General features: G+C 44.3%; 1 annotated feature.

Annotated features, from left to right (window-relative positions):
• Positions 4814–5341: an enhancer, noted in NCBI's record as "NANOG-H3K4me1 hESC enhancer chrY:2010123-2010650 (GRCh37/hg19 assembly coordinates)". NCBI's record gives its function as "activates a minimal SCP1, AML or CMV promoter by ChIP-STARR-seq in naive H9 embryonic stem cells {active_cell/tissue: H9 hESC(naive)}" and the evidence as "EXISTENCE:reporter gene assay evidence [ECO:0000049][PMID:30033119]".

The raw sequence follows: 17684 nt of genomic DNA, 5'->3' as shown, positions 1-17684 counted from the left end.
TATATATAATTTTTAATATTGCTTATGTTATATATTGTATATTATATTATATAATATATTACATATATAATGTTTATATATGTTATATTAGAAAAATATTTTATATATACACAGACACAGGAAATATATATATTTATTTCTACAGGTATACATATAGAAAAATACAACTCCTTTTTTAGACATTGTTTAACTTTTAAAAATGATTATATTATAGATGTTTTGTATTTTATGTTAAAATTGAATTAATTTATTTATTCATTTTGAGATAAGGTCTTGCTCTGTCACCCAGGCTGGAGGGCAGTGGCGTGATCATAGCTCCCTGCACCCTTGAACTCCTGAGCTCAAGCAATTCTCCTGCCTCGGCCTCCCAAGTAGCTGGGAATACCGGTGCGCACCACCGCACCCAGCTAGTGTTTAAAAAAATGTTTTCATAGCAATGAGGTCTACCGTATCTTGCTCAGGCTGGTCTCGAACTCCTGTGCTCAAGTGATCCTCCTGCCTCAGCCTCCCAAAGTCCTGGGATGACAGACATGAGCCACTGCACCCGCCCCCGTTTTAAATTTCAGATGAAGGGGTGTGTGTGCAGGGGTGTGACTTAGGTATATTGTGTGATGCTGAGGTTTGGGCTTCTAATAATCCCAACACCCAGGTAGTCAGCGTACCCCCCAGTTGGTAGTTTTTGAACCCTTACTGCTCTCCATCCACACTCCTTTTGAAATCCCTAGTGTCTGTTTTTCTCATCCTTCTATTCATTTTTATTTATTTATTGAGATAGTGTCTCGCTTTGTCTCCCAGGCTGGAGTGCAGTGGCGTGATCTTGGCTCACTGCAGCCTCTGCTTCCTGGGTTCAAGTGATTCTCCTGCCTCAGCCTCCCAGGTAGCTGAGATTACAGGCACCCGCCACCATGCCCGGCTAATCTTTTGTAATTTTAGTAGTGATGGGATTTCACTATGTTGGCCAGGCTGGTCTTGAACTCCTGGCCTCAGGTGATCCACTCGTCTTGGCCTCCCAAAGTGCTGGGATTAAAGGTGTGAGCCACTGAGGCTGGCCGGAAATCTTTCTTTCTTTCTTTCTTTTTTTTTTTTTGAGACGCAGTTTTGCTCTTGTTATCCAGGCTGGAGTGCAGTGGTGCAATCTTGGCTCACTGCAGCCTCTGCTTCCTAGGTTCAAGCAATTCTCCTGCCTCAGCCTCCCCTCCCAAGTAGCTGAGATTACAGGCACACACCACCACGCCCAGCTAATTTTTTGTAATTTTAGTAGAGACGGGATTTCACTATGTTGGCCAGGCTGGTCTTGAACTCCTGGTCTCAGGTGATCCACTCGTCTTGGCCTCCCAAAGTGCTGGGATTAAAGGTGTGAGCCACTGCGCCTGGCCGGAAATGTTTCCCTTTTTAAATTTTATTTATTTATTTATATTTTGAGACGGAGTTTTGCTCTTGTTACCCAGGCTGGAGTTCAATGGTGCAATCTTGGCTAACCGCAGCCTCTGCTTCCTGGGTTCAAGCAATTCTCCTTTCTCAGACTCCCAGGTAGCTGGGATTCCTGGACCTGCCACCATGCACAGCTAATTTTTGTATTTCTAGTAGAGACGGGGTTTCATCACGTTGGCCAGGCTGGTCTCGAACTCCTGACCTCAGGTGATCCACCCACCTCGGCCTCCCATAGTGCTGGGATGTCAGGCGTGAGCCACCATGCCCCACCTTTGCGTTTCTAACTCTGTCTCGGTGTCTGCATTCCAGAACCCCCCAAGAAACACAGACCCGCTTCATAGACTTATTTTGCCACTTATACGTCTTATTTACTGACAAGTCCTTTCAGCTCTATTTCCTAATTTTTATCGGGTCAGGTGCCATCTTCGTATGACTTGTAACTATGCTTCCTAAATGTTGGCCACAAGTCCTTTAGGAGATATATGTCTTCCCAATAGTTTCTTACATTCTGTGGCTTGTCTTTTCACTTTCTTCAGAGTATTTCTTTTTTTTTTTTTTTTGCGACTTTTCCTCCCTCACTGCAAAACATCAGGCCTATGTAGGTACCTTATAAGCCGTAAAATTGCTTTATCTGAATTTTGCAATCTAGATTTTGGTTTTGACCATGAAAAAAAGACTCGTTGGCTGGGCGTGGTGGCCCAACACCTGTAATCCCAACACGTTGGTAGGCCAAGGCGGGTGGATCACAAGGTCAGGAGTTCAAGACCAGCCTGGCCAATATGGTGAAACCCCGTCTCTACTAAAAGTACAAAAAATAAAATAAAAAATTAGCCTGGCATGGTGGTAGGTGCCTGTAGTCCCAGATACTCGGAAGGCTGAGGCAGGAGAATCGCTTGAACCCGGGCAGTGGAGGTTGCAGTGAGCCGAGATGGCGCCACTGCACTCCAGCCTGGGCGACAAGAGTGCGACTCCATCTCAAAAAATAAAAATAAAAAAGAATTGTCTTAGTCGCTTGGCCTCCTGTAGAAGATATCATCGTTAAATGCAATCCATCATTCTTTTTGAGATCATAGATGCAACAGCACACCATGGTTTTGTGGTTTACATTTAAGTCCATGATTTATTTTGAGTTAATTTGTATAAAAGCTATGAGGTTTAGGTTGCGATTCATTTTTTGATGTTGTTCGTCATGTCTCCTTGCTCCAGAAATTTCAGTGAAATGGATATTCCTCTTCCATTAAATTACTTTTGCTCCATTCTCAAACATTAGTCGGACATCATTGCAGGTATCTGTTTCTGGGTTCTCTATGCTGTTCCATTTATTTATGTGTCTTATCTTTGTTCAGTGCCATACTCTCTCCATTTTATCCCAGCAATATAGTAATCCCAAAGAGTGTGTGATTTCTGTCACTTAATTCTTTCTCAAAATGGTTTCAACTCTTACAGAGCTTTTCCATTACTTTATAAATGTTATAATAATCTTTTCTATGTCTATTTTTAAAATTTTTTCTAGGTATATTTTTAAAATGCTGGGATTTTTATGTGAATTTTGTTTGTTTGTTTGTTTTTTGAGATGGAGTCTTGCTCTGTCGCCCAGGCTGGAGTTTACTGACACAATCTTAGCTCACTGCAACCTCCACCTCCTGGGTTCAAGCAATTCTTCTGCCTCAGCCTCCCGAGTAGCTGGAATTACAGGTGCCCTCCACCACACCCAGGCAATTTTTGTATTTTTATTAGAGACATGGTTTCATCATGTTGGCCAGGCTGGTCTCAAACTCCTGGCCTCAGGTGATCCACCCGCCTCAGCCTCCTGAAGTGCTGGGATTAGAGGCGCGAGCCACTGCACTCAGCCTGAATTGTGTTAACTCTGTAAATCAGTTTAAGGAGAACTTACATCTTTACTATAGTGATTGTGCTCCAGGAACTCAGTATGCCTTTCCTTAATTGGATCTTCGTTGATATTTTTCATCAGAATTTTATAATTTTTATCATACAGAACTACATATGCTTGGTGAGATTTATATATAAGTATTTCGTTCTCTTTGGAGCAATTTAAAATAGTTTTTTTTTTTTTTTTCTTTGAGACAGAGTCTCGTTCTATAGCCCAGGCTGGAATACGATGACACGATCTTGGCTCTCTGCAACCTCTACCTCCCGAGTTCAAGTGATTCTCCTGCCTTAGCCTCCCGAGTAGCTGGGACTACAGGCACCTGCCACCTCGCCCAGCTAATTTTTTTGTATTTTTTGTAGAGACTGGGTTTCACCATGTTGGCCAGGCTGGTCTCAAACTCCTGACCTCAGGTGATCCACGCCCCCCTCGGCCTCCCAAAGTGCTGGGATTACAGGCGTGAGCCACCACACCCGGCCTAAAATAGTATTATAGTTTATATTTTGGTTTCCCCTTGTCCATTGTCACTGTATAGAAATACAATTGATTTTTATACATTTATCTTGCATCCTGTGAACTTATTGAGCTCATTTATTAGTTCTAGAAAGTTTTTTCCAGATTATTTGATATTTTCTATCAAGACAATTATATCATCGTCAAATAGAGACAATTTTTTTCTTTTTTTCCATGAGGGTTTGTTTTTACTCTTTGACTGTTTTTTTTTTTTTTTTTTTTTTTTTTTTTTTTTGTATATTTTGAACTCTTCATAATGATTTTTTGTAAACCAAAATGATGTTTGGATCCTTAATACACTTCCCTGAACCCCATCCTGGAAAAACCCTCAAGATATACTCAGGTCAGAGGTCTCCAAGGAGCAGTTGCTTTGAACACTGCCCAGTGACCATGTGGCTTACCCAACCCTTGCAAATGCTTCCAGAAAATGTCTTTCTTTAGTCTTTTGCTGATAAGTTTAATCAGTCCACCAGTTTAGCATTTTGTATTCATAATGTAAATAAACCAGTTTCCCTGTGACTTTTTCCCTTTGTAGTCAAAGCTCTACACACCGAGCCCAGGGCCTTTTAATGCTTTCTGCTTTGCCAAAACCAGCCTTACTTTTCTGCCTATTTAAACATCATTGTTAGGGCCGGGCCTGGTGGCTCACGCCTGTAATCCCAGCACTTTGGGAGGCCGAGGTGGGCAGATCACAAGGTCAGGAGTTCGAGACCAGCCTGGCCAACATGGTGAAACCCCGTGTCTACTAAAAATACAAAAATTAGCTGAGTGTGATGGCAGGCGTCTCTAGTCCCAGCTACTCAGGAGGCTGAGGCAGGAGAATCGTTCGAACCCAGGAGGCGGATGTTGCAGTGAGCCGAGATCGCGCCATTGCACTCCAGCCTGGGCAACAGTGCGAGACTACGTCTCAAAACAAAAAACATCATTGTCAATATTCATCTTTGGTTTGAGCCTCCGTTTCTTTCTCCTTTAAATGAAATTGCTTAAGAGCAGATAAATGTTTTTCAGCACTTTATTCCTCCTTCTCAGTTCTCTTTGTTTCCCCTGCTTTATTAAAAATCTTAAATAATATCCATATTGTTGGCACCAGACTCTCATTGCCGAAACCCCATTTAGCTAAGCTAGTGCTGTGATCTCCCGGGCCTCCTAATGACATTCTTAAGCATGTCCCCCTCGGTGTGTGCGGAGGAAGCTGTGTCACTTATGTTGATCTGACAGAAGTCAACACAACAACAGCTCCCCTGCCAGTAGGATGCCCCGGGCTGGACTGTGCCTGTCAACTCCCTGCTGGAGGGTGGCTGTGAAATTTCTCATGCTGCCTTCTTGGAATTGTAGCCAGAGTGCATCCACAAAACAATGCTGCGGGATGCTGAATAACAGCCCCCAGTCATACACAGGTCCTTATCCTTAAAACCCATGAATAGCCTGTAATGAGGCCGAGGTGGGTGGATCACCTGAGGTCAGGAGTTCAAGACCAGCCTGGCCCACATGGCGACACCCCGTCTCTACTAAAAATACAAAAATTGGCCGGGCATGGTGGCTCACGCCTGTCATCCCAGCACTTTGGGAGGCTGAGGCGGGCGGATCACAAGGTCAGGAGATCGAGACCATCCTGGCTAACACAGTGAAACCCCGTCTTTACTAAAAATACAAAAAAAAAAAAAATTAGCTGGGTGCAGTGGTGGGTGCCTGTAGTCCCGGCTACTCGGGAGGCTGAGGCAGGAGAATGGCGTGAACCTGGGAGGCGGAGCTTGCAGTGAGCCGAGGTCTTGCCACTGTACTCCAGCCTGGGTGACAGAGTGAGACTCCGTCTCAAAAAAATAATAATAAAATAAAAATTAGCTGGATGTGGTGGCACGGGCCTGTAATCCTGACTACTCAGGACGCCGAGGCAGGAGACTCACTTGAACCTGGGAAGTGGAGGTTGCAGTGAGCTGAGATCACGCCACTGCACTCCAGCCTGGGCAACAGAGCAAGACTTCATCTCAAAAACAAAAATAAACAAACAAACAACAACAATAAAAACACGAATAGGTTACATTATATGGTAACAGACTTTAAAGATGCATTTCAGTTAATGATCTTGAGATGGGAGGATGATATCGGATTATTGAGGTGGATCCTCAATGTCATCAGAAGCATCTTTCTAAGAAGGAGGCAGAGGGAGACTGGACTAGCAAGAGAGTACGCGATGTCAGAACTAAAACGAGGTACGATGTTGCTGGCTTTGAAGGTGGAGGAACGGGCGACAGGCCAAGAAATGAAAGGAATACAGCTCTAAAAGCTGCAAAAGGCAAAAGAATAGCTTCTCCCCTAGAGCCAACCTTACTGAGACTTGAGTTTGAGCCTTTTTGGACAATGTGATAATAGGAGTTATCCCCTTGACATCAAAGTGACAGCTTTCAGCCTGCTGTTGGGGAAGATATGAAGGTTGCCCATGGAGTTTGTCTTCCATTACAGGCTCATATGCAAAGAATTTTGTTTGTTTGTTTATTGTTTTAGATGGAATCTTGCTCTGTCACCCAGGCTGGAGTCCAGTGGTGCCATCTTGGCTCACTGCAACCTCCGCCTCCCGGGTTCAAGCAATTCTCCTGCCCCAGCCTCCCAAGTAGCTGGGACTGCAGGCACCTGCCACCACGCCTGGTCAATTTTTGCATTTTTAGTAGAGATGGGGTTTTACCATATTGGTCAGGCCGGTCTCGAACTCCTAACCTCAGGTGATCCACCCACCTTGGCCTCCCAAAGTGCTGGGATTACAGGCATGAGCCACCGCGCCCGGCTTATATGCAAGGAGTTTCTAAGAAAGAGTGTGTTCAAGGAAGAGCATCAGGTCATGTTTTTTGAGAACTAACTACCTGCAGAGGCAGCAATAAACATGTTTGATGCGCTTGCCTGAGAGTGTTCAATTGTGTTAGTGTTAGAATCCCACCATTCCTGGCTCCCCTGTCCTCCAATGTAGACATATCACCTCTGGCTTTGCAGAAGAAACCTGAGCTGCAATAGAAATGATAGCAATTTTCATATTTTCATTCCCTTTTATCACTAGAACAGCTAATGCTTCCTGAACTATGCGTATCGGATTTAATCCTCACAGAGGGAAAGTCAGAGATTGGAGATCAGCCTCATCTGCAAAGTCAGGCAGGAGTCATATACCAGCTAAGCACTGACTCCAACCTGCATGGATCTCACCCCAAAGCACAGACTAATTTTAACCCCCAGGCCATTTTTATTTGCATCTTGTGTCTGGGACACATCATGTGTCATTTACATCAAGACTGAGCTCCAGGAGGGGAGGTTTTATCCCAACAGGACAGACCTTCTGGGTTTTCAGGCTAATCTCCAACCATTACCTCCACTCAGGTGTGTGTGGTAAATCCCCAACTCCTAGGAGCCCCATGTCACTCTGACCTAATTCACTTGCTCCAAACAAACTCTCTGTCTGAGTCTGTTTTGTGTTTCTATGAAGGAATCTCTGAGGCTGGATAATTTGTAAAGAAAAGAGGTTTATTTGGCTCATGATTCTGGTGGCTGGAAAGTTCAGGATTGGACATTTGCATCTGGTAAGGGCCTCGGGCTGCTTCCACTCAGAGTGAGAGAGTGTATTAATCTGTTTTCACACTGCTGATAAAGACATACCTGAGACTGAGGTTTTTTGGATGTACAGGTCCACATGTCTGGGGAAGTCTCACTATCATGGTGGAAGGCAAGGAGGAGCAAATCACATTTTACGTGGATGGCAGCAGATCTCATGAGACCCATCCATTATCATGAGAACCACATGAGAAAGACCTGCCCCCATAATTCAATCATCTCCCACTGGGTCCCTCCCACAACACATGGGAATTATGGGAGCTAGAAGATGAGATTTGGGTGGGGACATAGAGCCAAACCATAGATTTGGGTGGGGACACAGAGAGGAAGGGGAGCTGCATGTGCAGAGACCACATGTAGAGACAGGAAGCAAGAGAGAGAGAGTGTGTGTGGGGAGGTGCCAGGCTCTTTTTAACAGCCAGCTTTCATAATAACTCATAAGAGAGATAACTCACTTACTCTCAAGGATGGGCACTAATCTGTGCGTGAGGAATCCACTCCCATGACCCAAACACCTCCCATTAGTCCCCACCTTCAGCACTGGGGATGAAATTTCAGCACGACGTTTGGAGGGGTACAAACATCCAAACCATAGCATTCCTGAAACCATGCAACCAAAACCATCATTTTCATAGAAACTATCAGAAAAGCAGATCTGAAGTGGAAACGATGCATTCTCTGCCTCTCGCCAGCATCATGAGTTTCAGACCATGGAAATTTTACTTTGCCTGTTGTGGGTTTGCTCTGTCTTTTTGATCAATGTATCCATAGCAACAACAAGTGGCTTCTGCCTTGTGAATGCCTTGAGAAGTGAGGTAAACACAGAGTAGTGGAAATATCGGGATGCAGCAGGAGCACCTCACAAAATGAGATCCTCTCCTCCAGAATCTCCTTTCATTGTTGGTGCTGGTGCAATTCATCTTTCCCTGCTTTGCAGTAGAGACGTAAAAAATTTCAAACCCAACAGGCATCCCTGGTTGCTCCCTCCCCTCTGTCCAGTTAGTGATGGTGTGAGCAATCCTCCTTTTTTCTGGTCCTAGTGGTCTAGCATTAGACAGCAGGCCTGAGTTTGGAGAAATCCCACTGGAAGAGTCCTGCATGGGGAAGAACCTCCTGGCTCCTCCCAAGAAAGAAAAATGGCAGTCTTCAGTCTTCTAAGGTACTGACCTATGACGTAGCTCACATTACTCAAATGCATGTACTCCAGACTTTGAATCAGATACAAGGACGTGGCTATAATCTCAATGATGGTGCGTCTGCCAAATTCACGTGTTGGAACTTAACCCCCAAGATAATGGTGTTAGGAGGTGTGGGTCATCAGGAGGTAGGATGACTGCCCTCATACATGAGCTTGAGAAATTCTGCTTGCTCCTTCTGCCCCTCTGCCATGGGAGAACACAAAGAAGGCACCATCTTTGAAGCAGAGAGAGAGCAAGCCCTTAGCAGACACTACGTGGCCCTCAGCAGATGTAGGCTGAGAATTGGGAGAAGGGTCTTTGTCTATTGTTTGAGCTTATGGATGGTAGGAGGCACCCGGGTCTAAGGTGAGACTCTTTGTGTTTGAATCTTCCATGTATCTCAAAAAGCCATGAAAGGAACGAGTCTCCGTTCACGCTCTCTTTCTAGTTCCCTTTTCTTCTTCTTCCTCTTCCTCTCCTCCTTCCTCTCCTTCCTCTCCTCCTCCTCCTCCTCCTCCTTTTTTTTTTTGACAGAGTCTTGCTCTGTCACCAGGCTGGACTGCAGTGGCGTGATCTTGGCTCACTGCAACCTCCGCCTCCCAGGTTCAAGTGATTCTCCTGCCTCAGCTTCCCAAGTAGCTGGGACTACAGGCGCGCACCACCATGCCCGGCTAATTTTTGTATTTTCATTAGAGATGGGGTTTCACCATGTTAGCCAGGATGGTCTTGATCTCTTGACCTTCTGATCCACCCGCCTTGGACTCCCAAAGTGCTGGGATGACAGGCATGAGCCACCGCACCCGGCCCCTAGTTCCCTCTTCTATAAAATGCAGGAATGATAATACAGGTTGGCCATTCCTCATCTGGAAGTCCAAAACCTGAAATGCTCCAAAATCTGAAACTATGTGAGCAGCAGCATGGTACCATAAGTGGAAAATTACAGTGATACTAAGGTGGTGTGTGTTGGGAGGACTCTTTGTTCGTTGATGAAGGACAACGAACTCTTGACCTTATGTGAAAGGTCACAGTCAAAATGCAGTCAAAACCTTGTTTTATGCACAAAATTGTTAAAATGTTTAAAATTACCTTCAGGTCATCTGTGTAAGATGCATATGAGGCTGCGCGTGGTGGCTTACACTTGTAATCCCAGGATTTTGGGATGCCGAGGCGGGTGAAATCATTTGAGGTCAGGGATTCGAGACCAGCCTGACCAACATGGTGAAACCCCGTCTCTACTAAAAATTCAAAAAATTAGCCGGGTGTGGTGGCACGTGCCTGTAATTCCAGCTACTGGGAGGCTGAGGCAGGAGAATAGCTTGAACCTAGAAGGTGGAGCTTGCAGTGAGCTGAGATCACACCACTGCACTCCAGCCTGGGCGACAAAGGGAGACTCCATCTCAAAAAAAAAAAAAAAAAGATGCCTATGAAGCATAAACGAATTTTGCATTTAGACAAGAGCTCAATCCCAAGATAGCTCATTAAATATACGAATATAACAAAATCTGAAAAAATAAAATGTTTGAAATACGTCCAGTCCCAGGCATTTCAGATATAAGATACTCAACCTGTATTAACTTTCTGGTTTTCTGGGAAAATAAAATGAATGATTTTAAATCAAGAATTGGGCATAGGGCTTGGTTCTTAGTAAGTCCTCAGAATGTTCTTGTCATTGTTATGATAGTCCTCAACAATCCTAAAGATTGATATTCCATATTTCTACCGACTTGTCAAGAGCAGGAACAAACTATAATGATACGAAGGGTGGTGTGTGTTGGAGGACTCTGTTTGTTGAGGAAGAACAAGGAACTCTTGTCTTGACCTCATGCGAAAGGTCACAGTCAAAATGCAGTCAAAACTTTGTTTTATGCACAAAATCGTTAAAATATATAAAATTACCTTCAGATCATGTGTATAACATGCATATGAAACATAAATGGATTTTGTGTTTAGACAAGAGCCCCCTCTAGAGATACCTCATTATATATCCAAATATAAAAAAATCTGAAAAAATAAAATGTTTGAAAACACTTCCAGCCCCAGGCATTTCAGATAAGAGATACTCAACCCGTATTAACTTTCTGGTTTGCTGGGAAAATAAAATGAATGATTTTAAATCAAGAATTGGACACAGTGCTTCGTTCTTAGTAAGTCCTCAGAATGTTCTTGTCATTGTTATCATACTCGTCAACAATCGTAAAGATTATTCCATATTTCTACGTACTTGTCAAGAGCAGGAACAAATTACATCTTTTCCGTATATGCATTCCTGTTGGTTTGCTGATTTATCTATAAAATACCCGTGCACTTTTGTTCCCCCACTAGGTTTTTCGGCCCATCTGCTCTTTTTTTTGCAGAAGGGAATTAGAAGAAATAGGTTTAGGCTGGCATCACCAAAAGTCTTTTCTCTCTTTAAAAGATATTCTTATTTTCCACCCGTCTTCGACAGCAACTTTATTTTCACCAAAAAGAATCGATGTGGAAAATGTCTTCCCTTCCACACAGTTCACTGCAGACATGTGAAAAGCTGCAACGGACATTCCTGGCTTTACTCAAGTTTCTCAGGAAAGGGCTCCACAGAGAAATAATTCCTTCCAGGGACTTCAAGCTATGACCTTGGGGACTGAAATCTGGAGACAAAGGGAATGGGTGTTTGCCTTCACCTCATGAAAGGTGAATGAGGTTCTGCGGTCACAATGGCTTATGTTCGTTCTATCTTGTCTTGTTCTTTCTTTCACTTTCTTCTTTCTTTTTGAGACAGAGTTTCCTGCTTTCGTCTTTTTTTTTGAGACACTTTCTTTCCTTTCTTCCTTCTTCTTCCTCTTTCTTTCTGACAGTTTCCCTCCCTCCCTCCCTTCCTTCCCTCTCTTCCTTCCTTTCCTTCCTCCCTCCTCCCTTCTTTCTTCCTTCCTTTCTTCCTTCTTCTTCCTCTTCTTTCTTTCCTTTCTTCTTTCTGTTTCAGACAGTTTCTTCTTCTTTTTTAGACAGAGTTTCTTCTCTCTTTTTGAGACAGTTTCCCATCCTTCCTTCCTTCTCTCTCTCTCTCCCTTCCTTCCCTCCCTCCCTCCCTCCTCCTTTTCTTTTCTTTTCCTTTCCTTTCCTTTCTTTTCCTTTCTCTCTCTTTCTTTTCTTTCTCTTTCTCTTTCTTTCTTTCATCAGAGTATTGCTCTGTCACCCAGGCTGGAGTGCAGTGGTGCGATCTCGGCTCACTGCAACCTCTGCCTCCCAGGTTCAAGCGATTCTCCTGCCTCAGCCTCCTAAGTAGCTGGGACTACAGGCACATGCCAGCATGCCCAGCTACTATTTGTATTTTTAGTAGAGATGGGGTTTCACCATGTTCACCCAGCTGGTCTCGAACTCCTAACCTCGTGATCTGTCCACCTCGGCCTCCCAAAGTGCTGGGATTACAGGCGTGAACCACCACAACCGGCCGGTTTTTGTTGTTAAAAGCAATCTCCAGCTTTGTGAAAGTCATTAAGACAGGCGTCTGGATTTTCTTTTCTCTAAATCCTTGTTGTAAAACAACCCGAAGATTCCAATTATACGATGTGAAAGTCACAGAGTGGTGGGAAAAAGAAAATCATCACTCAACACTCCACGCCCGGAGCACTTGCTGTCTGTGTTCCGATGGATGATGGTCTGGCGTGAATACGCAGAGATCACCGATGTTGGCTGGACACTAGTTTATGTTGGTTTGAAAAATCAAGGGAATCTCACATCTTTCCCTTGTTGAGAGTGGCTGTGATTCACCTGTCACAAACACTTTCAGGAAAATTTCTGAGGATACACAGGCACGATGGGACCCCCCCCAACCTCAACTGTGCTCATGGGCAGACACACACACCGCTCAAGATAATTCTCCGAGCCCTGAGTCAGGGAACATGAAGTTTCTATGGGTTGAGATACAAAGCAGTAGACATAATTTCTTGTTACTGTTGTTTTGAGATGAGTCTTGCTCTGTCGCCCAGGCTGGAGTGCAATGGCACAATCTCGGCTCACTGCAACCTCTACCTCCTGGGTTCAAGTGATTCTCCTCCCTCAGCCTCCTGAGTACCTGGGATTACAGGTGCCCACCACCACGCCTGGCTAATTCTTTTTTTTTTTTTTTTTTTTTTTTGAGACAAAGTCTTGCTCTGTCACCAGGCTGGAGTGTAGTGGCCCAATCTTGGCTCACTGCAACCTCTGCCTCCTGGGTTCAAGCAATTCTCATGCCTCAGCCTCCCGAGTAGCTGGGACTACAGGCGCCCACCACCACTCCTGGCTTTTTTTTTTTTTTTTTTTGTATTTTTAATAGACACGGGGTTTCACCATATTGGCCAGGTTACTCTTGAACTCCTGACCTTGTGATCCGCCCACCTCAGCCTCCCAAAGTGCTGGGATTACAGGTGCGTGAGCCACCACATCCAGCTAATTTTTTTTTTTTTTGACCAAGTCTTGCTCTGTCACCAGGCTGGAGTGTAGTGGCACAATCTCGGCTCACTACAACCTTTGCCTCCTGGGTTCAAGCAATCCTCCTGCCTCAGCCTCCCGAGTAACTGGGACTACAGGCATGGGCCACCATGCCCAGCTACTTTTTTGCATTTTTTGTTTTTTTAGTAGAGACGGGGTTTCACCATGTTGGCCAGGCTGGTCTCAGACTCCTGACCTCCGGTGATCCACCCACCTCTGCCTTCCAAAGAGCTGGGATTACAGGGGTGAGCCACTGTGCTTGGCCTCAGTAGACATGTTTACATGGTTGTCCAGTTGCCTGCACACCTCCAACACACACCACCCTTCGTATCCTTGTGGTTTGTTCCTGCTCTTGACAAGTAGGTAGAAATAAGGAATACCAATCTTTAGGATTGTTGAGGACTGTCACAACAAGACAAAAAGAACTTAAAAGAACATACTGACAACCAAGTGCTGTGTTCAATTTTTTTTTTTTTTTTTTTTTTTTTGAGATGGAGTCTCGCTCTGTCGCCCAGGCTGGAGTGCAGTGGCGCGATCTCGGCTCACTGCAAACTCCACCTTCCGGGTTCACGCCATTCTCCTGCCTCAGCCTCCCGAGTAGCTGGGACTACAGGCAGCCGCCACCACACCCGGCTAATTTTTTGTATTTCTTTTAGTAGAGATGGGGGCCGTGTTCAATTCTTGATTCATAATTATTCATTTTGTTTTCCCAGCAAACCAGAGAGTTAATACAGGTTGAGTACCCCTTATCAGAAAGGCCTGGCACCAGAAGTGTTTCAAATATTTTGTTCAGGTTTTGTTACAGTAGGGATTGTAACCAGTAATGGTGAAGCTTCTTTCAGTACATTGTCAGATGGGGCATGTCACAATCAACAGCTAAATAATAAGGAGAAACCCCAAATATGGCAGGGCTTGCCTCATCTCCCCACATAAACATCCTTCCAGAAAATGAGCATCTTTACTAAGCTAGACGGGCTTCTGCCCATTGTATGCTCTATAGCTGGGAGTGCTGAAGAGGCCAACATCTAAAATTAAGACTTGAGAGCATATGTAGGAATGTAAGTTAGTAGAGGCACTGTGTGAAAATAGTAAAGAGATTCCTCACAAAGCTAAAAATAGAACTACCATCTGATCCAGCCATTCCCCTGCTGGGAATTTATCCAAAGGAAAGGAAATGAGTATATCGAAGGGATTTCTGCAACCCCGTATTTACTGCAGTACGGTGCACAGTAGCCGAGACATGGAATCCGCCTCATTGTCCATCAATGAATAAAGAAAGAAAGAAGATGTGGCCGGGTGCGGCGGCTCACGCCTGTCATCTCAGCACGTTGGGAGGCTGAGGAGAGACGATCACCTGAGGTCAGGAGTTCGAGACCAGCCTGGCCAACATGGTGAAACCCCGTCTCTACTAAAAATACAAAAATTAGCCAGGCATGGTGGTGGGTGCCTGTAATCCCAGCTACTCGGGAGGCTGAGGCAGGAGAATTGCTTGAACCTGGGAGGTGGAGGTTGCAGTGAGCCGAGATCGCACCACTGCACTCCAGCCTGGGCAACAGGAGCAAAGCCCTATCTAAAAAATAATAATAATAATAATAATAAAATGTGTTAGGAGACTTTGACACCTACTATTATTGTACCAGTCTTATGTTTCCCTTACAATCTATCGTGGCTCACACCTGTAATCCCAGCACTTTGGGAGGCCGAGGCGGGCAGATCATGAGGTCAGGATATCGAGACAATCCTGGGGAACATGGTGAAACCCCATCTCTACTAAAAATACAAAAATTAGCCGAGTGGGGTGGCAGGCACCTGCAATCCAAGCTACTTGGGAGGCTGAGGCAGGAGAATCACTTGAACCTGGGAGGCAGATGTTGCAGTGAGCCGAGATCATGCCATTGCACTCCAGCCTGGGTGGTAGAGTGAGACTCCATCTCAAAAAAAAAAAAAAGTTTGCTTTGTGTATTTGGGAACTCTGATGTTTTCAGCATGTATATTTACAATTGTTATGTATTCCTGTGGAATCAACCATTTTGAGTTACATGAAGACCTTCTTTGTCTCTTGTGACAGCATTTGAATTAAAGTCTATTTTGTCTGAAAAAGAGAATGTTTTATATATATACAATGGTGCAGCCATCAAAAGGAAGGAAGTCCTGTCATTTGCAGCAACATGGATGACCCTGGAGGTCATTATGTTACATGAAATAAGCCAGACACAGACAGACACGTTTTCTGTGTGTTCACTCATACTTGGGCACTAAAAAGGTTATCTCATGGACATAGAGGAGAATGATGGATAAGAGATCCTGGAAATGGTTTGTGGAGACAGTGTTTAGATGAAGAGTTTGGTTAATGGGCACAAAGATCCAATTACATAGAACATATAAGTTCTGGTTTTTTTTTTTTTTTTTGAGGCAGAGTCTCACTCTGTCGCCCAGGCTGGAGTGCAGTGGTGCGATCTCGGCTCACTGCAACCTCCGCCTCCCGGGTTCAAGCGATTCTCCTGCCTCAGCCTCCTGAGTAGCTGAGACTACAGGCGCCCGCCACCACGCCTGGCTAATTTTTGTATTTTTAGTACAGACAGGGTTTCACCATATTGGCCAGGCTGGTCTCGAACTCCTGACCTCGTGATCCGCCCTCCTCGGCCTCCCAAAGTGCTGGGATTACGGGTGTGAGCCACCGTGCCTGGCCCGTGAGCCATCACGCCTGGCCAGAAGATGTAAGTTATAATGTTCTATGGTAGAGCAGGGTCACTATAGTTAGCCAGAATGTATTATATATTTGAAAGCAGCTAGAAGAGAAAACTGGAAATTTTGCTAACACACAGAAATGACTCCAGGTGCTGGACGCGCCAAATACCCCAGCTTAATCATTACACTTTCTAGGCAGGCAGCAATAAATCACATGGAAGGCAGACATCTATAAACTATCACGTACCAATAAAAAAGATCCCACAGCACAGCTGATCTCATAAATAAATATATTTTTCAGTAGAAGCAGAAATAGAATCCTAATTCTGAGCTTGTTCTGTGATTTCTTCAAATATAAAGATATCATCAGCCATTTGAACCCTGTAAGTAACAGAAAGCCAGATAAGAGTGATTCTCAGGATGTTGCTTTATCCCTATGTCACAAATCGCTAAATAAGTAATTACCGGAAAAGAAGCCATGAATGTCACTAGCCATTTTTAAGTTTTTTGTTTTCTCTTTTGAGATGGAGTCTCACTGTGTCACCCAGGCTGGAGTGCAGTGCTGCAATCTCTGCTTGCTATAACCTCCATCTCCTGGATTCAAGCGATTCTCCTGCCTGAGCCTCCGAAGTGGCTGGGACTACAGGTGCACGCCACCACGCCCAGCTCATTTTTGTATTTTTAGTAGAGACAGGGTTTCACCATGTTGGCCAGGCTGGTCTCAAACTCCTGACCTCAGGTCATCCTCCCGCCTCAGCCTCCCCCAAAGTGCTGGTATTACAGGAGTGAGCCACCGTGCCCAGCCCATTTTAAATTATTACAGCATTCTATTTTTAAACTCACATCTCTTAAACATATTTAGTTCTTATTTTTAGTCACTGCCAACACTAGGACATAAAACCATAATAATTTCAGCAGTTTACAAAAAACCCTTGAAATTTGAACACCTGTATGAACCAACCATCTGTGGTTATTTAAACCACATTTATTTGAAATTAGAGAATGAAGTACAGAATCTCTTTAGAACTGTGACCTTCTTCAGCCCAGAGGTTATTGATTCTTTATCCCCTTTACCTATTGTATTATCAGTCAATGAGCGGGAAATAAATCTGCAATTGTTGAATAGCCTACTGACCAAATTAATGAATATTCCTTGGTGCTTTCTTGCAATTCTGTGGCTTAATTAAGGATCTTTAAAAATATTAGTTTTTCGGCCGGGCGCGGTGGCTCACGCCTGTAATCTCAGCACTTTGAGAGGCCAAGGCGGGTGGATCACCTGAGGTCAGGAGTTCGAGACCAGCCTGACCAACATGGAGAAATCCCGTCTCTACTAAAAATACAAAATTAGTCAGGCGTGGTGGTGCTCACCTGTCATCCCACCTACTTGGGAGGCTGAGGCAGGAGAATCACTTGAACCTGGGAGGCAGAGGTTGCGGTGAGCCGAGATTGTGCCATTACACTCTAGCCTGGGCAACAAGAGTGAAACTTCGTCTCAAAAAAAAAAAAAAAAAAAGTAGTCTTTCATCCAGTTTTTTAAATAAAAAACTTTATGAAAAAATACTAGTTTTCCATACAGCTTTTAAAGAAATTGGTGGTCTATATTAAAAAATTAAAACCGGACCTGATAGGAGCTGGAGCACATAAATACATAGACTAGCAGCGGGCTTTTCTGTTCTTTATTTATTTTGTTTGTTTGTTTTCAATGCTCTCTGATACAATTAATGACCTTTCTCTACCCAGACAATGCTTCAGTCTATACCAGCTCACACAAAGAGAAAAAGTTCACACAGGTATGCCGGCGCGATCTTCAGAATCCCCACGGTTAAACACAATGGCCCTGCGGGCTTTTGAGACCAGACACGAAGCACGGAAGAATTTATCCTTTCCCCGATGCTATTGTTCCTAGTAATGTCTTTGACATTGGAATTCGACTAAAAAAAAAAAAAGGA

This window comes from Homo sapiens, chromosome Y (assembly GCF_000001405.40).
Source record: "Homo sapiens chromosome Y, GRCh38.p14 Primary Assembly".
NCBI lineage: Eukaryota > Metazoa > Chordata > Mammalia > Primates > Hominidae > Homo > Homo sapiens.
Note: the sequence above shows the minus strand (reverse complement) of the source record. Positions and strands in the feature narration are given on the sequence as shown.